At 36.1% G+C, this 24,829-nt stretch overlaps 1 protein-coding gene across 2 annotated transcripts in view; it reads left to right on the top strand.

Moving 5' to 3' along the window:
- Positions 1-24,829, top strand: part of CNBD1 (cyclic nucleotide binding domain containing 1) — a 562,238-nt gene that overhangs the window by 501,271 nt on the left and 36,138 nt on the right. The window contains exon 11 of one of the 2 annotated variants that reach the window (NM_173538.3): positions 14,935-15,174. The exons of the other annotated variant lie outside the window; for it this stretch is intronic. Within the exon in view, the coding sequence (NP_775809.1) occupies positions 14,935-14,942 (8 nt within the window). The 3' untranslated portion in view covers positions 14,943-15,174. Of the gene's footprint in view, positions 1-14,934; positions 15,175-24,829 lie in introns of those variants that run through there. 2 annotated transcript variants of the gene reach the window in all.

The raw sequence follows: 24,829 nt of genomic DNA on the forward strand, positions 1-24,829 counted from the left end.
TTGAGAAATATGCATTTAATAGCCCTATTTTGTGGATCAGGAGAATAAAGTATAGAAAGATTAAGTGATATCAATGCTCTCTATCGAAAGGTCATGGGGGACACTTCTGTGGTTGACTGAATTGGGTTTGTTACTCATTGGGATGAGAGAGAACTATGGGGAACCATAGATTGTCTCAGCAAAAGGACATTAAAAGAATATGTTGGCCGGGAGTGGTGGCTTACGCCTATAATTCCAGCACTTTGGGAGGCAGAGGCAGGTGGATCACGAGGTCAGGAGTTTGATTACCAACATGGTGAAACCCAATCTTTCCTAAAAAGACAAAAATTAGCTGGGCATGATGATGTGCACCTGTAGTCGCAGCTACTCAGGAGGCTGAGGCAGGAGAATTGCTTGAACCCAGGAGGTGGAGGTTGCAGTGAGCCTAGATCACACCATTTCACTCCATCCTGGGTGACAGAGCGAGATTCCATCTAAAAAGAAAAGAAAAGAAAAGAAAAGAATATGTTATAGAATTTGGGTTTTGGTTGGGTGATTTGGGAAGTAGCCTAAGAATGTAGAAATTTGTTCTTGATTGAACGCTGTCAAAAAACAATATATCCCAATAAATCTTAAGTTTTGGAAGGGCAGACTAGAGTGAAGATAAATATGTAATTAATAAAAAAGTAGATTGGGCATGGCAGCTCATACCTGTAATTCCAGCATTTTAGGAGGCTGAAGTGAGAGGACTGTTTGAGGCCAGGAGATGGAGACTAGACTGGGCAACATAGTGAGACCCTGTCTGTACAAAAAATAGTAAAAAGTTAGCTGGGCATGGTGCCTCACACCTGTAGTCCCAGCTACTTGGTGGACTAAGGCAGGAGGATCCCTTGAGCCAGGAGTTTGAGGCTGCAGTGAGCTATGATCAAGCCACTTCACTCCACCCTGGGTGACAGAACAAAAACCTATCTCAAAAAGAGAGGGAGAGAGAGTGAGAGAGAGACAGAGAGAGAAAGAGAAAGATAGCACCTGCTTCTATTAGCCAAAAGAGGGGTATTTGGTATTTTGTAGGCATCAAGCTGACCTTGCTTTTGTCTGTGCTTAGACAAAATTATGAAATGACCTTGCTTGTCTCATTTTATCATGCTCATGGACAACATATCTGAGGGTTACATTCTGTGCAAATCTGCCATAGGAGAATTATGTGGCCAACTGAAAATGCCAGGCCCGCTTCCAAATGTCAGATTCGGCTTCCCTCCCCTCCTTCTTTTCCTTCTCATGACTTGCTTAATATTACAGAGCTATTAAGGGGTGCAACCAGGAATCAAACCCTAACACTCTGCCTCCAGGATCCATATTACAACAACTATACTTTACTAACAGTTTAACTGATAACTCAATAATTTTTTTAATCCATTATCCTTATGTAGTTATTTTATTCCATATATTTTAGCCATAATTGTATAAATTTTGGCTAGATTTTTGGCTAAATGATATTTAATAATGGCCTTCAATGTTCACATGTATTTAGGAAGGAAACATATTTTTCTTTTACTAGGATTCATTACATTGATATAGCTAAGAAGCCCTGAACTCAAGTGTAAGATTTGGTTTCCTAGGTCAATTCTACCATTCCGTACATGCTGTTTGAGTCATCTATGTTCTTTTTTGTGATTGAAAAGAGTTCCAGTGTATATTTATATTGTGTTTTATACTTACCTATGTAATTACCTCTGCTCATGCTCTTTATTTTTCATGTGGAACTGAATTACCACATTCTATCCTTCCTTTTCTGTCTGAAGATCTTATTTCTCATACAGCAAATCTGCAGGTGACAAGTTCTCTCAGTCTTTATTTATCTGGAAATGTCTTTATTTCTTTTTCATGTTTGAAGATTAGTTTTGTTAGATTTAGAATTCTTGGCTGATAGTCTTTTTCTTTCAGCACTTTGAGCATGTTATTCCTCCTTCTTCTGGCCTCTATAGTTTCCAATGAGAAGTTGCTGTTAGTACCATTGAGTATCATTTGTGGATGATTTGTCACTTTCCTAGTGCTGCTTTCTTTTTTTTTTATTATTATACTTTAAGTTTTAGGGTACATGTGCACAATGTGCCGGTTAGTTACATATGTATACATGCGCCATGCTGGTGTGCTGCACCCATTAACTAGTCATTTAGCATTAGGTATATCTCCTATATGCTATCCCTCCCCACTCCCCCGACCCCACAACAGTCCCCAGAGTGTGATGTTCCCCTTCCTGTGTCCATGTGTTCTCATTGTTCAATTCCCATCTATGAGTGAGAACATGCAGTGTTTGGTTTTTTGTCCCTGCAATAGTTTACTGAGAATGATGATTTCCGATTTCATCCATGTCCCTACAAAGGACATGAACTCATCATTTTTTATGGCTGCATAGTATTCCATGGTGTATATGTGCCACATTTTCTTAATCCAGTCTATCATTGTTGGACATTTGGGTTGGTTCCAAGTCTTTGCTATTGTGAATAGTGCCGCAATAAACATACGTGTGCATGTGTCTTTATAGCAGCATGATTTGTAGTCCTTTGGGTATATACCCAGTAATGGGATGGCTGGGTCAAATGGTATTTCTAGTTCTAGATCCCTGAGGAATCGCCACACTGACTTCCATAATGGTTGAATTAGTTTACAGTCCCATCAACAGTGTAAAAGTGTTCCTATTTCTCCACTACTCTCCAGCACCTGTTGTTTCCTGACTTTTTAATGATTGCCATTCTAACTGGTGTGAGATGGTATCTCATTGTGGTTTTGATTTGCATTTCTCTGATGGCCAGTGATGGTGCGCATTTTTTCATGTGTCTTTTGGCTGCATAAATGTTTTCTTTTGAGAAGTGTCTGTTCATGTCCTTTGCCCACTTTTTGATGGGGTTGTTTGTTTTTTTCTTGTAAATTTGTTTAAGTTCATTGTAGATTCTGGATATTAGCCCTTTGTCAGATGAGTAGGTTGCAAAAATTTTCTCCCATTTTGTAGGTTGCCTGTTCACTCTGATGGTAGTTTCTTTTGCTGTGCAGAAGCTCTTTAGTTTAATTAGATCCCATTTGTCAATTTTGTCTTTTGTTGCCATTGCTTTTGGTGTTTTAGACATGAAGTCCTTGCCCATGCCTATGTCCTGAATGGTAATGCCTAGGTTTTCTTCTAGGGTTTTTATGGTTTTAGGTCTAACGTTTAAGTCTTTAGTCCATCTTGAATTAATTTTTGTATAAGGTATAAGGAAGGGATCCAGTTTCAGCTTTCTACATATGGCTAGCCAGTTTTCCCAGCACCATTTATTAAATAGGGAATCCTTTCCCCATTGCTTGTTTTTCTCAGGTTTGTCAAAGATCAGATAGTTGTAGATATGCGGCGTTATTTCTGAGGGCTGTGTTCTGTTCCATTGATCTATATCTCTGTTTTGGTACCAGTACCATGCTGTTTTGGTTACTGTAGCCTTGTAGTATAGTTTGAAGTCAGGTAGTGTGATGCCTCCAGTTTTGTTCTTTCGGCTTAGGATTGACTGGGCAATGGGGGCTCTTTTTTGGTTCCATATGAACTTTAAAGTAGTTTTTTCCATTTCTGTGAGGAAAGTCATTGGTAGCTTGATGGGGATGGCATTGAATCTATAAATTACCTTGGGCAGTATGGCCATTTTCATGATATTGATTCTTCCTACCCATGAGCATGGAATGTTCTTCCATTTGTTTGTATCCTCTTTTATTTCATTGAGCAGTGGTTTGTAATTCTCCTTGAAGAGGTCCTTCACGTCCCTTGTAATTTGGATTCCTAAGTACTTCTAACTCATTTTATGAGGCCAGCATCATCCTGATACCAAAGCCAGGCAGAGACACAACCAAAAAAGAGAATTTTAGACCAATATCCTTGATTAACATTGATGCAGAAATCCTCAATAAAATACTGGCAAACTGAATCCAGCAGCACATCAAAAAGCTTATCCACTATGATCAAGTGGGCTTCATCCCTGGGATGCAAGGCTGGTTCAATATATGCAAATCAATAAATGTAATCCAGCGTATAAACAGAACCAAAGACAAAAACCACATGATTATCTCAATAGATGCAGAAAAGGCCTTTGACAAAATTCAACAACCCTTCATGCTAAAAACTCTCAATAAATTAGGTATTGACAGGACATATCTCAAAATAATAAGAGCTATCTATGACAAACCCACAGCCAATATCATACTGAATGGGCAAAAACTGGAAGCATTCCCTTTGAAAACTGGCACAAGACAGGGACGCCCTCTCTCACCACTCCTATTCAACATAGTGTTGGAAGTTCTGGCCAGGGCAATTAGGCAGGAGAAGGAAATAAAGGGTATTCAATTAGGAAAAGAGGAAGTCAAATTGTCCCTGTTTGCAGACGACATGATTGTATATCCAGAAAACCCCACTGTCTCAGCCCAAAATCTTCTTAAGCTGATAAGCAACTTCAGCCAAGTCTCAGGATACAAAATCAATGTACAAAAATCACAAGCATTCTTATACACCAATAACAGACAAACAGAGAGCCAAATCATGAGTGAACTCCCGTTCATAATTGCTTCAAAGAGAAAAAAATACCTAGTGCTGCTTTCAAGATTTTGTTTCTGTTTTTTGATAATTTATGATGGGCCCTGTTGTAGATATCTTTTAGTTTATCCTACTTGCAGTTTTCACTGAGGTTCTTAAATGTATACTTTGATGTTTCCCATCAAATGCTAGTTTTCTGTCATTATTTCTGGTTCCTCACTGGATAAAAAGTAAATACTTTATAATGTTTGTTCCCACTCCACTGATTTCCAAATTTCTTCAGAAACTCTGGGTTGATTTTCTGTTTTAGAGTCACCATAAACGTGGTCTCCAAGATTAAGTTCTTAGAAGATTATGATAGGTAGAAAAGAGTCTATGCTGTTATAAACATTGATGACATTGAAAATCAATCTAGTAATAGCTTTTTTGTTACATAATACTTTATTTGTCCACAAATAAGTGGCCTCTTTTCTGATGCTCTTACCTATCAATGATTATTAAAATTCTCAAACTTTTATGTGGCAACGTTCTTAATAATTTAAGTTCAATCACCTCATATATGGCAAATTTTCACTAGATGTCTAGAACAAATTTATTTCTGTATGTAAACTATGCTTCCTTTTTATAGATGGTATAAGCCATGGTATTTTCCACTTTTTGTGGGCTCCCAGGAAGAGCATTGTCAACTTTGCATATAACTGTGGTAGCTTCCTTTACCTAAGTAAACTCCTGTGATTTTTTTCTTCCTGTTTCTGTCTACCTTACACTTCTGTTACTTTAAGTAGTTTTAATTACATACTTATATGATATTTTTTATTATAGTAGTTAGATTATAACTTTTAAAAATTATGACCATTTCAAGTATTTGGATGGGTGAATTCTTCCAGTAATAAATAAAGGCATAGTTTACATATTTTTAAATTGGAAGTTGTGGGTTTAATTATTGGCTCTTATTTTTCTCTCAAGAAAAAAAGCAAATGTTATTGAAAAGTAGACTTTTCTGCAAATGATGATTAATGACCAATGATACTTCTACTGACCCAATGATACTTCTACTGATACTTCTAATATAGCGGTATTAGTTTAATGGTGAAGCCACCAATCACTTAGGTAATATTGAAATATATTGTTGACCCTAACCACAAGTAACATAATTTGGAGTGCTGCTAGGCAGAATTTTTTAAAGGCATTATCACAAACCCTTGCTGCATCTCTCGCTTACCTAAACATGAAACATTTTGAGACCAATAATTAGTTAAGTTTTAATTCTTAACATTCACAGGTTTTGATTTTATACTCTTGTAATTATGATGCCTTAAATGTAACTTGTTTTTCAGCAAGGACTTTAGATGACTGGTATGTAAAGTTGTAGGTTGTATATCTTCATTTAGGAAATAGTTTGTATGCTCCAAAAGTCTAATTGTCTGTAGATGAAAGAAAATTACAATAAATGTTGGCTTATAGGAATTGCCAATTCAGGCCAAAAAGCCTAACTGGTTTAGCAAACAATATTAGTCAGATATCAAGTTCAAAACAACCAAATGTTATATGAAGAAAAAGTGTATTTTTAGGATAAGTTTATATAAAATTTCAGGCCAAGTTTCTGTGTAAACCTTAAACTTCAATATTTTTAGATAGAACCCAAGTCTATGCCTGTACAAATGTAATTTTATAAACTTGTTATCACATTCTATTTCATGATTAATTTAAATATTTGTATTGCAAAATATTGCTTAATTGTTAGAAGCTACAACAGTTTTCATCTGATGAATTCAGTGTTACAGCTACTGGTAATTACAACTAGGCTTTTATAGTATATACATTTCTCTCCTTTGGTTGATTATATTGTTTGGCAAAACTAATCCCCTAAAAAATTCCTTACAAAATAATTCATCATAAAAAAAGAAAATCAGAATGTAGGCAATAATGTGCCCCATCAACATGTATATGACAGCTCTTTCCAATATATAGCATAACCACTGAAATATAATCATCATTGTGAATATTTACCGTGCACTTCATCTGTCTTTTACTGTGCAATAGTGTTTTTCTTGGGTATTTCTGATATCAAATCCTTGTGGATTGCTAAATTTTGATTTTCACTCAATTTTTAGGAAGCCTGTAATAAAATAAAATGTGTTTCCTAAGAAATTTGATAAAATTTACAGAGTTATGCACAAATGATAAAAAATACCACATTTAAGATAGTTCCTTAAATCAAGATCCTAATAAGGGCAACTTTAGTATAACAGACTATTACTGAGGATTTTCATTTTCATTGCCCGTCTTTACATACCCAGTTGGGTTCTAGACTGGTACACCTTGTATGGAAGAGATTAGTTAGAGACTGAACAACTCTCTCTTTTGTCTTCATTAGTACTGGGGCACGTTAAATTTCCCAGCCTCTCTAGCAGTTAGGTTGGAGCCATGTAACTGGCTCTGGTTAATAGAATAGAGGGAACATATTATTGCCTGGCCATGAAATATATGATTTTTCCATGATCTCACTCACTGTCTGGAAGTCAAGTACTCCAAAATAGCAGCATCACGTGATGATGAGAACCTAGACCTTGGAATTCTTTTCTTGGATGGAATTGCTCAGAAAAATAGCTTAGCTAGAAACATCTGTATTGGACTTTGTGTAAGTGACAAATAAACATTTGTTGAATTAAGCAACCAAGATTTTAGTTTGTTATAGCAACTACCAAGTGCTACACTGAGTCATACAACTGGCAAAAATGCAAGGTTTTCTGAGGAGTTCTCAAAACAAGTAATAATTTCTGGATTAGAACATAAAATAAATATGCTTTTTGTGATTATTCTTTTGTCCTTAACATTTATAAATCTTCCACTCAAAAATAATTATACAGTACATTTAGAAATGAAAATATATGTGCATAAAGAAGATATACACTATTGCATCTAAGTTTTAGTATGGTTTTGAATAGTACTATTATAAGAACAAATGTACATGAATTCAGCTCTTAGTTTTGTAATTAATGCACTTTCACAATCTCTGACAACACTGTTTTTAAAAACAGCTGATAGTTTAGTTACAAATTTCCAGGAACTTAGCAAATGTCATAGGGTAAGCTGTGTGCTGTCTGTTAACACAGAGAGAGGTAAGTGGAATTTAGCACATTTCAAAGAGAAAGCAAAAAGTTAGACAAACCAATAATCAAAATTAAATTTTGTAAACTATGTTAGATAAATGCCCACCAAGAGTTAATAGAACAAGGCTTAGAAATATCTGTAGATAAAGTTATCAGTGACTTTACTGAGAAAGTTTACAATAACCATCTTTTCCGAAGCCATAGCATTCCTTATAAGTTTTTATATATAGTTTAGGTATCACACAGATTCTATTTTCTTAGGCTATCATAGGAACCGAATCAAGGTTATTAGATTGGAATATTGGTATAGAAACCATTCCAAAGCTTCAAAGAAATGAATGAAATTCATTATGTCTTGCAAGACAAAACTTCCATCTCTTATTTTTAAAATGTCTGCTTAAATGAAATCCCCAAAAATTACTTATAGTTACCTTATATGAGAAGTTAAATTTGAGTTAAAGTTTTCAAGTTCTTTTGCAAAGGTACACTGAATTCCGTCACTAAATACTTTCCTAATATGCTTTTGGAAAATATATTCAAGATCCTATGTCTGTCTTTTCCTTTTTTCAGGCCTTGGATCTACTCAGACTATGTTGATAAAAGATAAATAGATCTCTTGCAGGAAGAATTGTACTTTCTGCGATAAAAATTTAATGGGCTAATATTTAATTATGTTGGTTGGCAAATTTAAAAATTATGCAATATGAAGGATTATAACATCAAATAAAAGCAGAGATGAACTTTTTAGTTCAAAGATTCAGCAGCTTGTTCTATCACTTACTGTAGACTGTGACTGTAAAGGAAATATAGTTTAGATGAGCTCTCAGTTCATACTGCTTCAATGCATTACCATGGGCTGGGTGGCTTAAACAACAAACGTTTATTTTCCCATAGTTTTGGAGGGCAAGAAATCCAAGATCAAGTCCCTGGCTGATCTGGTGTCTGGTGAGGGTACATTCCTGGTTTGCAAAAATAGCTGTCTTCTCCTTGTATTCTCACATGGCTGAGAATAGAGAGCAAGCTCTGACAAGGGTACTAATTCCTAAGGGCTCGGCCCTCAGCACCTAATTACTTGCCAGAAGAAACCTACTAATACCGTCACATTGGACGTTAGGATTTCAACCTATGAATTTTTGAGGGATGTAACCATTTAGCCCATGACACATGCTAACTTTTTTAACAGTAAAAACCGGCCTAAAAATAATTATCTTCTGAAAATATCCTGACAGATGTGAAACCACATAGCAACATGCTTCGCACACATTTGGACATATGTATTCATAGAGTTCTATATTTGGGTACTTCCATAGAAATCTTTAATAGCTAAAGCAGTGATTATTTACTATATTAAAGTGTTTTTCTGCATTATTTCATTTCATCTTAATGAAAATCTTAGTTAAGTTTATTAAACCCATTTTATAGGTAAGGCAACAAAGGCTTATAAAGCATAAGTAACTTGCACAAATACATAGAAATTTGTAAGTATTGGAGCCAGAATTCGGACCCAATTCTGTCCAAATCCCATCTCTTACTCAAGCTTCTTATTTTATAGATTAAAAATCAGAACCTTAGAAAGAAGAAATAATTTACTTGAGGACACATGTCTAACCACTGTTAGAGCACATCTTGGAACCCAAATATTCTGGCTCATATACAATACTAAGTGTTGATATTTGTTTGTTAAATTTATTTTTTTTCTTTTTTTTTTTTACATTTAGAAAACTCCAATTTTTATTTTTATTTCTTTATTTTATTTTATTTTATTTCTTATTTTTATTTTTCGCAGATAATTTTTGTAATTTTATTTTATTTATTTTTTTATGATTATTATTTATATTATTATTATACTTTAAGTTTTACGGTACATGTGCACATTGTGCAGGTTAGTTACATATGTATACATGTGCCATGCTGGTGCGCTGCACCCACTAACTCATCATCTAGCATTAGATATATCTCCCAATGCTATCCCTCCCCCCTCCCCACACCCCACAACAGTCCCCAGAGTGCGATATTCCCCTTCCTGTGTCCATGTGTTCTCCTTGTTCAATTCCCACCTATGAGTGAGAATATGCGGTGTTTGGTTTTTTGTTCTTGCGATAGTTTATTGAGAATGATGATTTCCAATTTCATCCATGTCCCTACAAAGGACATGAACTCATCATTTTGTATGGCTGCATAGTATTCCATGTTGTATATGTGCCACATTTTCTTAATCCAGTCTATCATTGTTGGACATTTGTGTTGGTTCCAAGTCTTTGCTATCGTGAATAATGCCGCAATAAACATACGTGTGCATGTGTCTTTATAGCAGCATGATTTATAGTCCTTTGGGTATATACCCAGTAATGGGATGGCTGGGTCAAATGGTATTTCTAGTTCTAGATCCCTGAGGAATCGCCACACTGACTTCCACAATGGTTGAACTAGTTTACAGTCCCACCAACAGTGTAAAAGTGTTCCTATTTCTCCACATCCTCTCCAGCACCTGTTGTTTCCTGACTTTTTAATGATTGCCATTCTAACTGGTGTGAGATGATATCTCACTGTGGTTTCGATTTGCATTTCTCTGATGGCCAGTGATGATGAGCATTTTTTCATGTGTTTTTTGGCTGCATAAATGTCTTCTTTTGAGAAGTGTCTGTTCATGTCCTTTGCCCACTTTTTGATGGGGTTGTTTGTTTTTTTCTTGTAAATTTGTTTGAGTTCATTGTAGATTCTGGATATTAGCCCTTTGTCAGATGAGTAGGTTGCGAAAATTTTCTCCCATTTTGTAAGTTGCCTGTTCACTCTGATGGTAGTTTCTTTTGCTGTGCAGAAGCTCTTTAGTTTAATTAGATCCCATTTGTCAATTTTGTCTTTTGTTGCCATTGCTTTTGGTGTTTTAGACATGAAGTCCTTGCCCATGCCTATGTCCTGAATGGTAATGCCTAGGTTTTCTTCTAGGGTTTTTATGGTTTTAGGACTAACGTTTAAGTCTTTAATCCATCTTGAATTGATTTTTGTATAAGGTGTAAGGAAGGGATCCAGTTTCAGCTTTCTACATATGGCTAGCCAGTTTTCCCAGCACCATTTATTAAATAGGGAATCCTTTCCCCATTTCTTGTTTTTCTCAGGTTTTTCAAAGATCAGATAGTTGTAGATATGTGGCATTATTTCTGAGGGCTCCATTCTGTTCCATTGATCTATATCTCTGTTTTGGTACCAGTACCATGCTGTTTTGGTTACTGTAGCCTTGTTGTATAGTTTGAAGTCAGGTAGTGTGATGCCTCCAGCTTTGTTCTTTTGGCTTAGGATTGACTTGGCTCTGCAGGCTCTTTTTTGGTTCCATATGAACTTTAAAGTAGTTTTTTCCAATTCTGCGAAGAAAGGCATTGGTAGCTTGATGGAGATGGCATTGAATCTGTAAATTACCTTGGGCAGTATGGACATTTTCATGATATTGATTCTTCCTACCCATGAGCATGGAATGTTCTTCCATTTGTTTGTATCCGCTTTTATTTCCTTGAGCAGTGGTTTGTAGTTCTCCTTGAAAAGGTCCTTCATATCCCTTGTAAGTTGGATTCCTAGGTATTTTATTCTCTTTGAAGCAATTGTGAATGGGAGTTCACTCATGATTTGGCTCTCTGTTTGTCTGTTGTTGGTGTATAGGAATGCTTGTGATTTTTGCACATTGATTTTGTAAACTGAGACTTTGCTGAAGTTGCTTATCAGCTTAAGGAGATTTGGGGCTGAGACAATGGGGTTTTCTAGATATACAATCATGTCATCTGCAAACAGGGACAATTTGACTTCCTCTTTTCCTAATTGAATACCCTTTATTTCCTTCTCCTGCCTAATTGCCCTGGCCAGAAGTTCCAACACTATGTTGAATAGGAGTGGTGAGAGAGGGCATCCCTGTCTTGTGAAAGTCCTGAGTGACCTACAAAGAGACTTAGACTCCCACACATTAATAATGGGAGACTTTAACACCCCACTGTCAACATTAGACAGATCAACGAGACAGAAAGTCAACAAGGATACCCAGGAATTGAACTCAGCTCTGCACCAAGCGGACCTAGTAGACATCTACAGAACTCTCCACCCCAAATCAACAAAATATACATTTTTTTCAGCACCACACCACACCTATTCCAAAATTGACCACATACTGGGAAGTAAAGCTCTCCCCAGCAAATGTAAAAGAACAGAATTTATAACAAACTATCTCTTGTTTGTTAAATTTAAAAAAAATCCATGAGAAATAGATCTTGATGACTAGAGAACTGCATTCATTTTTGATGAAGAAATAAAAGGGAAAACATTAGCAAATAATGTAATGGTCATAAAAGTGCATATTAAATTAATGATGAAACATTATTGCACTGTCAGAATACCAGTAATTTTTTTTAAGAAATACGTTTATAATATTTGTAAAATTACATTGATTGAATCTGATTGTTTTATATATAAAAAATGAAATAATTTTCTAAAAAATGAAATAAGGAAGTTGAAGTAGAATTATAAAAACACAGGTATAATACATTATCTAGAGCTTAGTAGCAAATCCTAAGCAAAATTCTGAGTAAAAGGAAAATACACGAGAAATACTTAAATATGACCAAATGATTTACCAGAAACCAGTTAGAAACATTTACCAAGTGGTAAAATCTAGATTATGACAAAAATTTCAGACATCATCCACTGGTGCCACTTGGGAGGTTTTAGATAATGCAAGACAATAATATAAACTAGTAAGGATAAACTTAGACAAAGGAACCAAATATCTGTGTTTGCTTATTATAATTACATACACAAACAAGAGTATTTATATAATTACCAGCTAAAAGATTAATATAATTTAATAATTTGTGCTAATATTTGAATATTAAAATGTCAAATGTCAAGATAGAAATGCAAAATGTAATAGCTTCTCTACCTAAATAGTATACAGTTAGAAATGGACATGATAATACTTAAAAATAAGATCATTCTTGGCACCCTTGTTGAATATCAGTTGATCATATATACATGGATTTATTTCTGTATTTTATATTGTGTTCTATTACTCTGTATGATTGTCTTTATGCAATACCATACTGTTTTGATTACTGTAGCTTTGTAAGGTATTTTCAAAGCAGGTGGTGTGATGTCTCCAACTTCATCCTTCTTTCTGCAGATTGATTTGGTTATGTGTAATTTTTTATGGTTCCATATGAAATAAAAAATTGTTTTGTCTATTTCTGAAAAAAAGCACCATTAGGATTTTAATAGAAGTTTTATTGAATCTGTAGGTCTCATTGGGTAATAGGGACATTTTAACAATATTGTCTTCCAGTCTGTGAACGTGAGATGTCTTTTCATTTGTTTGTGTTCTTTAATTTCTTTAATTGGTGTTTTGTAGTTTTCAGTAAACAAGTCTTTTACCTCCTTAGCTAAGTTTATTCTAAGTATTTTATTGTTTTTTAGGACTGTTGTAAATGGGGTTGTTTTACTAATTTAATCTCTACAAAAATAGCATTGGAAAATTGGATATCCACATTCAAGAATAAAATTGGACCCTTACCTTGCACTGTACTTAATAATCAACTAAAAATGGATTAAAGACACAAATGCAAGAATTGTAACTGTTAAACTCTTAGAAGAATACGTAGTTAAAAATATTTTCACATTTGTCTTGGCAATGACTTCATGGATGTGACACCAAAAGCACAGGCAACAAAAACAAACCAGTGAGACCACATCAAACTAGAAAACGTTTGCACAGCAAAGGAACCAATCACCAGAGCAAAGGCAACCTATAGAATGGGAGAAAATATTTGCAAACCGTGCAACTGATAAAGGATTAATCTCCAAAATATATAAGACAATATTCCATTTCAATAGCTAAAAATAATAACTCAATTTAAAAATAGGATAAAGACTTGAATATACATTTCTCTAAAAAAGACATACAAATGGCCAGCATGTGTATTTTTAAAATGTCCAATGCCACTAACAGGAAAATGCAAACAAAACCACAGTGAAATATTACCTCATACCTATTAGCATTGCTTATATTTAAAAACACAAAAGAGAAGTGTTGACAGGGATGTGGAGAAATTGGACTTTTTGCACTCTGTTAATGGGAGCACAAAATGATGTAGCCACTATGGAAAACAGAATGGAAGTCCCTTAAACAATTAACAGTAGACCATATGATCTAGCAGGCCCAGTTCTAGATATTTTCTAAAGGAATTTAAATTGGGATCTCAAAGAGATATTAGCAGTACCATGTTAATTGCAGCATTATGCATAATAGCTAATATGTGGGAAATCTATTGACAGATAAATGAATTAAAAATATGTACATAAAATGGAATGCTATTCAGCCTTAAAAAGGAAATTCTGCAATATGTAATAGGAGAGATGAGCCTTGAGGACATTATGCTACATGAAATAAGCCAGTCACAGAATCCCCAAACCTGACCACTCATACGAGGTATCTAAAATCGTCAAATTTATAGGATTAAAAAGTGGAATGGTGGTTACGAGGGGTTGAGGCATGGGAAATGGGAACCTACTAATCCATGGGCATAAAGTTTCAGTTACACAAGATGAATAAGTTCTATGGATCTGCTGTACAACATTCTACCTATAGTCAACAATATTGTATTGTACACTTAAAAATTTGTGTTGAGGGTATATCTCATGTTAAGTGTTCTTACCATGATAATATAACATTTTAAAAAATAAATAGAAGAGTGACTCAACCACAGAGAGCCAGTCTATATTAAAAAACTATAAAAATGTTATTAAATAATAGAAAACAAATATAGACATATAATTTAACATTTGATTAAAAAATGTCACCTTTTCCAAAATGTTCATGGAATTTAATATAGCTCTGTTCAGCATTTTGGCATTTCCTATGGAATTCTAGCTAACTGGTTAGATACAAAATAGGTAAGATGATTTTACATTCATATGAAACAATGACTGCCAACAATTTAGAGAAAATAATTATCAATTTAAAATATCAGCAAGAAACATAATATTACTACAGAAAACATAATTTGGTTAGAAGAGAGGATCAAATCACTCCATATAATTATAGAATTTTCCTTGTGGAAAAATGATCACTCTCAAATGTCATTAGAGGGGGTGTAAAGTGTTACATTATTTCTAGAATAAGCTCTGACAATATTATTTTTTTCTTTTAAAGCATAACCCCTCTGACTCAGCAATGTAATTTTAGGGTTCTATTCTGTAGGAAAATAATTACCAAAAATGAGTATTTATTATGTAACTTCTTGTTTGTTTGTTTGCCTTTTGCAGTGGCCTAGATCTAGAAACAACCTCAGTGAACATTAATTAAGAAAGTATTGACTAAATAATGGAATAATTGCATTCTGGAATACTATCAAACTACCAGCAATGAATTTGGTCTATTGTGACTACATATCCTGGATTCCCCAGGAAAGTCCCACTTTCGAATTGCCTTTCAAACACAGTTTTTATTAGCAGTCTTTCTTGGTTTGGATACTAAAATAAATATAGTTATCATTGCTTGATTTACCTCTGTTGATACGAAGGTTTTCTTTCAAGTGTTTCGGTATACATGTAAAGTAGTTGTAAAAAATTAAAAGTTATATGTAAATGTTTATATGACCATGCACAAAAGGATGGAAACATACTCCTCAAGTTGTCATTTTTGACTGTCAGGGTTTGGATTGAGGACCACATGTGCCTTTTGGGATTAAAAAAAATCTATAAAGCATATGTAAAAGGCAAAAAGACATTGAATAGCTGTCTTGGTTCCAAATTTATTTGAGAACTTCAAAGACCTTGTGCTTTTTTCATCTTTTAAAAATATTCCATTTTGTAATAAAGTCATTTCCTTGATGTGATTATATTATGGAGAATATCAGTTAATTTAAAAAATAACAATAGAAATGCTACAATTTCAGAAGTTATTACACATGCTTCATATTGTAGTATAGTTTCAGTTTATCTTTTCATCAGACCCATGATCTTATACCTGGTGCCATGCCCATTTGATAGTCCTTAGTAAGGGGGAAAACCGTACGTTTATTCAATACCTACCATGTGTCTGACACAATATTAGGTGCTCTAAAAATGTCTGTTATTATTTTAGAGATAAAGAACTAAGGCTTTATGCAGTTTAATTTTTCTGTCATTCCCACATGGAGGAAATATAGAGTCAATGTTAAAACTGAAGTCTGTCTGCCTTCCAGTCATTTCCACTGTAACATACTGCTGCCCATGCATTTACATTTCAGTTATTTTTAATTCTTACACTATTAATGTGTTTCTTTCTACTAGCATTGAAAGCTTTACACCACAGGAATTGTTTTCATTGGAGTTGCAATTCTCAAGTAAAAAATTAACCTGTGTTTAGAATTATGTCACCTTTCTCCACACTGCCAAATGCGCAAGAAACTATACATAGCACCAAGTTGTATTAACTTTGTTTTAAGGAAACACAACCTAAGGTTAGAAAAGATAAATGACTTCTCCAGCACCATGCTCCAAATCATGTAGAGTTAAAAATAGAATTTTGAACAAGTTAAATCCTTTTCAGCTTTTCAGTTTAGAATGCTATTTATAAGATGTCAGTGATTATCTGATTTTAGATCATGGCTATCTAAATTTTATTGTTTGCCAGGACTGGTAATGATTACAAGACATTAGTATTTTTGACTTGTTGAAAATAAGATTTTAAAAAGGCTCATTCAATTAAGAATGAGTTATGTTAGTCTGCCTTCAAAATCATTTGGCTTGTCCTTTATAGTGAACATACTGATTGAATAATATAAAATATTGAACATAAAAGGACAAGAAAAGTTTTAATTATGTGTTATTTCCATGCACCATTATCTAATGGACCCCTGCTAAATTTGGCTATTTTATCTGTAGCCATTAGATATTTTTAAGATATATGCTTCATCTTTCAACAGACATTTATTGAATATTCCATATGTGACAGGCACTCTTCTAAGAACTGAGAATAAAATACTGAACATAACCAAATTCTTGTTTTCATGAAACTTACATTATATTGGGAGAAGATCATACTTAGAAAATATATATAATATTATATGGTACATATTATACTTCAGGCAGTGGTAAGTGCTCTGAAGAAAAAGCAGATCAGAAATTAAAGTTGATGGAGAAATGATATTTTAAATGAGGGGATCAAGGCGGATCTCAGTTTGAATGTTGATTCAGTATTTCCTCCATGTAGGAATGATAGAAAAATTAAACTGCATAAAGTCTTAGTTCTTTAACTCTGAAAGACTAACAAACACTTTCAGAGCACCTAACATTGTGTCAGACACATGGTAGGTATTAAATAAATGTATGTTTTTTTCCACTTACTAAGGACTATCAAATGGGCATGGCTCCAGGTATAAGATCATGGGTCCAATAATATGACATTATACCTCAGACCTGAAGGAAGTGAAAGGTCAATAAGATAGAACAATATAGGTAGAGTGAAAAAAGAGAGTATAATGTTATCTGAGGTGGATCATGCATGGGATGACTGATGATAAGTTAGATGTAGTTGAAATGAATGAGTGAAAGGGGACATTGTAAAAGATGGAATCAGAGTAATAGCAGGGGAAAAGTAAATGTGAGACCATAGAAACTTGGTAAGGACTTTAGATTTAATTCTGAATGAAACAGAAAGGCATGAGATGATGAGATGATCTGACTTAAGTTTTCAAATAATCACTTGGGTTCTATATGCAAAATAGATTTGGGGGACAAGGACTGAAGTGAGATCATTTGGGAGGGCATTAAAAAGTCCATGTAAAAGATAATGATGGGGGTGGAGCCAAGATGCCCAAATAGGATCAGCTCCAGTCTACACCTCCCAGCTTGAGTAACGCAGAAGATGGGTGATTTCTGCATTTCCAACTGAGCTACCGGGTTCATCTCACTGGGGAGTGTTGGACGGTGGGTGCAGGACAGTGGGTGCAGCGCACCGAGTGTGAGCCAAAACAGGGCAAGGCATCGCCTCACCCGGGAAGGGCAGAGTCAGGGAATTCCCTTTCCTAGTCAAAGAAAGGGGTGACAGATGGCACCTGGAAAATCGGGTCACTGCCACCCTAATACTGCGCTTTTCCAACAGTCTTAGCAAATGGCACACCAGGAGATTATATCCTGCACATGTCTCGGAGGGTCCTACGCCCACGGATCCTTGCTCATTGCTAGCACAGCAGTCTGAGATCAAACTGCAAGGCAGCAGTGAGGCTGGGGGAGGGGCGCCCACCGTTGCCGAGGCTTGAGTAGGTAAACAAAGTGGCTGGGAAGCTGGAACTGGGTGGGGCCCACCGCAGCACAAGGAGGCCTACCTGCCTCTGTAGACTCCACCTCTGGGGGCAGGGCATAGCCAATCAAAAGGCAGCAGAAAACTCTGCAGACTTAAATGTCCCTGTCTGACAGCTTTGAAGAGAGTAGTGGTTCTCCCAGCATGCAGCTGGAGATCTGAGAACGGACAGACTGCCTCCTCAAGTGGGTCCCTGACCCCCGAGTAGCCTAACTGGGAGGCAACACCCAGTAGGGTCAGACTGACAACTCACATGGCCGGGTACTCCTCTGAGACAAAATTTCCAGAGGAACTATCAGGCAGCAACAGTTGCTGTTCACCAATATCCGCTGTTCTGCAGCCTCCACTGCTGATACCCAGGCAAACATAGTCTGGAGTGGACCTCCAGCAAACTCCAACAGACCTGCAGCTGAGGGTCCTGACTGTTAGAAGGAAAACTAACAGAAAGGACATCCACACCAAAACCCCATCTGTGCATCACCATCATCAAAGACCAAAAGTAGATAAAATCACAAAGTTGGGGAAAAAACAGAGCAAAAAAACTGGAAACTCTAAAAATCAGAGCACCTCTCCTCCTCCAAAGGAATGCAGCTCCTCACCAGCAACGGAACAAAGCTGGAATGAGAATGACTTTAACGAGTTGAGAGAAGAAGTTTTCAGACGATCAAACTACTCCGAGCTAAAGCAGGAAGTTCGAACCCATGGCAAAGAAGTTAAAAACCTTGAAAAAAAAATTAGATGAATGGCTAACGAGAATAACCAATACAGAGAAGTCCTTAAAGGACCTGATGGAGCTGAAAACCGTGGCACGAGAACTATGTGACGAATACACAAGCCTCAGTAGCCAATTCGATCAACTGGAAGAATGGGTATCAGTGATTGAAGATCAAATGAATGAAATGAAGTGAGAATTAGAGAAAAAAGAATAAAAAGAAATGAAAAAAGCCTCCAAGAAATATGGGACTATGTGAAAAGAACAAATCTACATCTGATTGCTGTACCTGAAAGTGATGGGGAGAATGGAACCAAGTTGGAAAACACTCTGCAGGATATTAACCAGGAGAACTTCCCCAATGTAGCAAGGCAGGCCAACATTCAAATTCAGGAAATACAGAGAACGCCACAAAGATACTCCTCAAGAAGAGCAACTCCAAGACACATAATTGTCAGATTCAACAAAGTTGAAATGAAGGAAAAAATATTCAGGGCAGCTAGAGAGAAAGGTGGGGTTACCCACAAAGGGAAGCCCATGAGACTAACAGCTGATCTCTCAGCAGAAACTCTGCAAGCCAGAAGAGAGTGGGGGCCAAAATTCAACATTCTTAAGAAAAGAATTTTCAACCCAGTATTTTATATCCAGCCAAACTAAGCTCCGTAAGTGAGGGAGAAATAAAATACTTTACAGACAAGGAAATGCTGAGAGATTCTGTCACCACCAGGCCTGCCCTAAAAGAGCTCCTGAAGGAAGCACTAACATGGAAAGGAACAACCGGTACCAGCCACTGCGAAAACATGCCAAATTGTAAAGACTATCGAGGTTAGGAAGAAACTGCATCAACTAATGAGCAAAATAACCAGCTAACATCGTAATGACAGGATCAAGTTCACACATAACAATATTAACCTTACATGTAAATGGGCTAAACACTCCAATTAAAAGACACAGACTGGCAAATTGGATAAAGAGCCAAGACCCATCAATGTGCTGTATTCAGGAAACCCATCTCACGTGCCGAGACACACATAGGCTCAAAATAAAAGGATGGAGGAAGATCTACCAAGCAAATGGAAAACAAAAAAAGGCAGGGGTTGCAACTCTAGTCTCTGATAAAACAGACTTTAAACCAACAAAGATCAAAAGAGACAAAGAAAGCCATTACATAATGGTAAAGGGATCAATTCAACAAGAAGAGCTAACTATCCTAAACATATATGCACCCAATACAGGAGCACCCAGGTTCATAAAGCAAGTCCTTAGAGACCAACAAAGACACTTAGACTCCCACACAATCATAATGGGAGACCTTAACACCCCACTGTCAACATTAGACAGATCAATGAGACAGAAAGTTAACAAGGATATCCAGGAACTCAACTCAACTCTGCACCAAGAGGACCTAATAGACATCTACAGAACTCTCCATCCCAAATCAGCAGAATATACATTCTTTTCAGCACCACACCACACCTATTCCAAAATTGACCACATAGTTGGAAGTAAAGCACTCCTCAGCAAGTGTAGAAAATAGAAATTATAACAAACTGTCTCTCAGACCACAGTGCAATCAAACTAGAACTCAGGATTAAGAAACTGACTCAAAACCGCTCAACTACATGGAAACTGAACAACCTGCTCCTGAATGACTACTGGGTACATAACGAAATGAAGGCAGAAATAAAGATGTTCTTTGAAACAAACGAGAACAAGGACACAACACACCAGAATCTCTGGGACACATTCAAAACTGTGTAGAGGGAAATTTATAGCACTAAATGCCCACAAGAGAAAGAAGGAAAGATCTAAAATTGACACCCTAACATCACAATTAAAAGAACTAGAGAAGCAAGAGAAAACACATTCAAAAGGTAGCAGAAGGCAAGAAATAACTAAAATCAGAGCAGAACTGAAGGAATTAGAGACACAAAAAACCCTTCAAAAAATCAATGAATCCAGGAGCTGGTTTTTTGAAAAGATCAACGAAATTGATAGACCGCTAGAAAGACTAATGAAGAAAAAAGAGAAGAATCAAATAGACACAATAAAAAATGATAAAGGGGATATCACCACCGATCCCACAGAAATACAAACTACCATCAGAGAATACTATAAACACCTCTACGCAAATAAACTAGAAAATCTAGAAGAAATGGATAAATTCCTCGACACATACACACTCCCAAGACTAAACCAGGAAGAAGCTGAATCTCTGAGTAGACCAATAACAGGCTCTGAAATTGAGGCAACAATTAATAGCTTACCAACCAAAAAAAGTCCAGGGCCAGATGAATTCACAGCCGAATTCTACCAGAGGTACAAGGAGGAGCTGGTACCATTCCTTCTGAAACTATTCCAATCAATAGAAAAAGAGGGAATCCTCCCTAACTCATTTTATGAGGCCTACATTATCCTGATACCAAAGCCGGGCAGAGACACAACAAAAAAAGACAATTTTAGACCAATATCCCTGATTAACATCGATGCAAAATCCTCAATAAAATACTGGCAAACTGAATCCAGCAGCACATCAAAAAGCTTATCCAACATGATCAAGTGGGCTTCATCCCTGTGATGCAAGGCTGATTCAACATATGCAAATCAATAATTGTAATCCAGCATATAAACAGAACCAACGACAAAAACCACATGATTATCTCAATAGATGCAGAAAAGGCCTTTGACAGAACTCAAGAGCCCTTGATGCTAAAATCTCTCAATAAATTAGGTATTGATGGGACATATCTCAAAATTATAAGAGCTATTTATGACAAACCCACAGCCAATATCATCCTGAATGGGCAAAAACTGGAAGCATTCCCTTTGAAAACTGGCACAAGACAGGGATGCCCTCTCTCACCGCTGCTATTCAACATAGTGTTGGAAGTTCTGGCCAGGGCAATCAGGCAGGAGAAGGAAATAAAGGGTATTCAATTAGGAAAAGAGGAAGTCAAATTGTCCCTGTTTGCAGATGACATGATTGTGTATCTAGAAAACCCCAGCGTCTCAGCCCAAAATCTCTTCAAGCTGATAGGCAACTTCAGGAAAGTCTCAGGATATAAAATCAATGTGCAAAAATCACAAGCATTCTTATACACCAATAACAGACAAACAGAGAGCCAAATCATGAGTGAACTCCCATTCACAATTGCTTCAAAGAGAATAAAATATCCAGGAATCCAACTTACAAGGGACATGAATTACCTCTTCAAGGAGAACTACAAACCACTGCTCGAAGTAATAAAAGAGGATACAAACAAATGGAAGAACATTCCATGCCCATGGGTAGGAAGAATCAATATCATAAAAATGGCCATACTGCCCAAGGTAATTTATAGATTCAATGCCATCCCCATCAAGATACCAATGACTTTCTTCACAGAAATGGAAAAAAACTAAAGTTCATATGGAACCAAAAAGGAGCCCGCATTGCCCAGTCAATCCTAAGCCGAAAGAACAAAACTGGAGGCATCACGCTACCTGACTTCAAACTATACTACAAGGCTACAGTAACCAAAACAGCATGGTACTGGTACCTAAACAGAGATATAGACCAATGGAACAGAACAGAGCCCTCAGAAATAATGCCACATATCTACAACAATCTGATCTTTGACAAACCTGAGAAAAACAAGCAATGGGGAAAGGATTCCCTATTTAATAAATGGTGCTGGGAAAACAGGCTAGCCATATGTAGAAAGCTGAAACTGGATCCCTTCCTTACACCTTATACAAAAATTAATTCAAGATGGATTAAAGACTTAAACGTTAGACCTAAAACCATAAAAACCCTAGGAGAAAACCTAGGCAATACCATTCAGGACATAGGCATGGGCAAGGACTTCATGTCTAAAACACCAAAAGTAATGGCAACAAAAGCCAAAATTGACAAATGGGATCTAAGTAAACTAAAGAGCTTCTGCACAGCAAAAGAAACTACCATCAGAGTGAACAGGCAACCTACAGTATGGGAAAAAATTTTTGCAATCTACTCATCTGACAAAGGGCTAATATCCAGAATCTACAATGAACTTAAACAAATTTACAAGAAAAAACCCCATCAAAAAGTGGGTGAAGGATATGAACAGACACTTCTCAAAAGAAGACATTTATGCAGCCAAAAGAAACATGAAAAAATGCTCATCATCACTGGCCATCAGAAAAATGCAAATCAAAACCATAGTGCGATATCATCTCACACCAGTTAGAATGGCGATCATTAAAAAGTCAGGAAACAAGAGGTGCTGGAGAGGATGTGGAGAAATAGGAACACTTTTGCACTGTTGGTGGGACTATAAACTAGTTCAACCATTGTGGAAGTGAGTGTGATGATTCCTCAGGGATCTAGAACTAGAAATACCATTTGACCCAGCCATCCCATTACTGGGTATATACCCGAAGGCTTATAAAACATGCTGCTATAAAGACACATGCACACATATGTTTATTGCGGCACTATTCACAATAGCAAAGACTTGGAACCAACCCAAATGTCCAACAATGATAGACTGGATTAAGAAAATATGGCACATATACACTATGTAATACTATGCAGCCATAAAAAACGATGAGTTCATATCCTTTGTAGGGAGATGGATGAAGCTGGAAACCATCATTCTCAGCAAACTATCACAAGGACAAAAAACCAAACACCGCATGTTCTCACTCATAGGTGGGAATTGAACAAAGAGAACCCATGGACACAGGAAGGGGAACATCACACACCGGGGCCTGTTGTGGGGTGGGGGAAGGGGGGAGGGATAGCATTAGGATATATACCTAATGTTAAATGAAGAGATAATTGGTGCAGCACAACAACATGGCATATGTATACATATGTGACAAACCTGCACGTTGTGCACATGTACCCTAAAACTTAAAGTATAATAAAAAAAAGAAATTTCAAATAAAAAAAAGATAACGATTGCAGATACCTCAAATTGATGCACAAATTCAATGCAGTCCCTATCAAAACCCCAGCTTGATTATTTTCAGAAAGCCACAAGCTAATCCTAAAATTCGTATGGAAACACAAGAGTTTCAGAGTTGCCAGAACAATCCTGAAAGAGAACAAAGCGGACAGACATACACCTCCCAATTTCAAAACTGACTACAAAGTGTATGTGTATTGGCAAAAGAGTAGACATGTGTAACAATGGAATATAATTGAATGTCCATAAATAAAACCTTATTTTTATGCCTAGTTGATTTTTTGACAGGTTGCTGAGATAATTCAATAGGGGAAGAATAATCTTTTCAACAAATCATGCTGGGATAATGGGATAATAGAAGACTGAAGTTGGATCCACACTTTGCACAAAAATTGACTCTAAATGGGTCGTAGAGATCATAGACTTAATTGTAAGAACTAAAACTGTACAACTCTTAGAAGAAAATTTAGAAGTAAATCTTTGTGACCTTGGGTAAAGCGAACCCTTTTCAGACACAAAAGCCCAACCAAAAAATGAAACAAAATAAAGTAATTTGGCCTTCATAAAAATCAAAAACTTTTGTGCTGCAAATGACACTATCAAGAAAGTGATGTGAATCCACAGAATGTGAGAAAATTGCAGATAATTTCTATGACAAAGACTTTATACCCAGCATGTAAAAAGAACCACAACTGTGTAATTAAAAATTAATGAAGGGCAGGAATGGGCCTTTCTCTAAAGAAGAATGGCTGATAAGCACAGAAAAAGGTACTCACTTTCACTAGTTATTAGGAAGATGAAAATCAGAACAGCAGTGAGATAAGATTTCATACCTACTATTTTGAAAAATTATAAAATATAGACAATAACAAGTGTTGTCAAAGATGTGAAAAAATTCGTGCTCTCATACATAGCTTGTGGAAATGTGAAGGGGTACAGTCACTTTGAAAACAACATGGCAGTTTCTCCACAAGTTCAACATATATTTACTATATTACTGAGCATTTCTACTTCTAGGTCTATATCCAAGAGAAGTGAAAACATATGTACATGCAAAATCTTGTACATGAATTAAAGTTTGTAACAGCATTATTCATAATAGCCAAAAATCAGAAACAACTAAAAAGTTCATTAACCGATGAAGGGATAAATTAAAATGTCATAAGCATATTCTGGAATATTCAGCAATAAGAAGGAATGAAGTCCTGATACATGAAATAATCTAGATGA

The sequence above is a fragment of the Homo sapiens genome, chromosome 8 (assembly GCF_000001405.40).
Source record: "Homo sapiens chromosome 8, GRCh38.p14 Primary Assembly".
In the NCBI taxonomy this organism is placed as follows: Eukaryota; Metazoa; Chordata; class Mammalia; order Primates; family Hominidae; genus Homo; species Homo sapiens.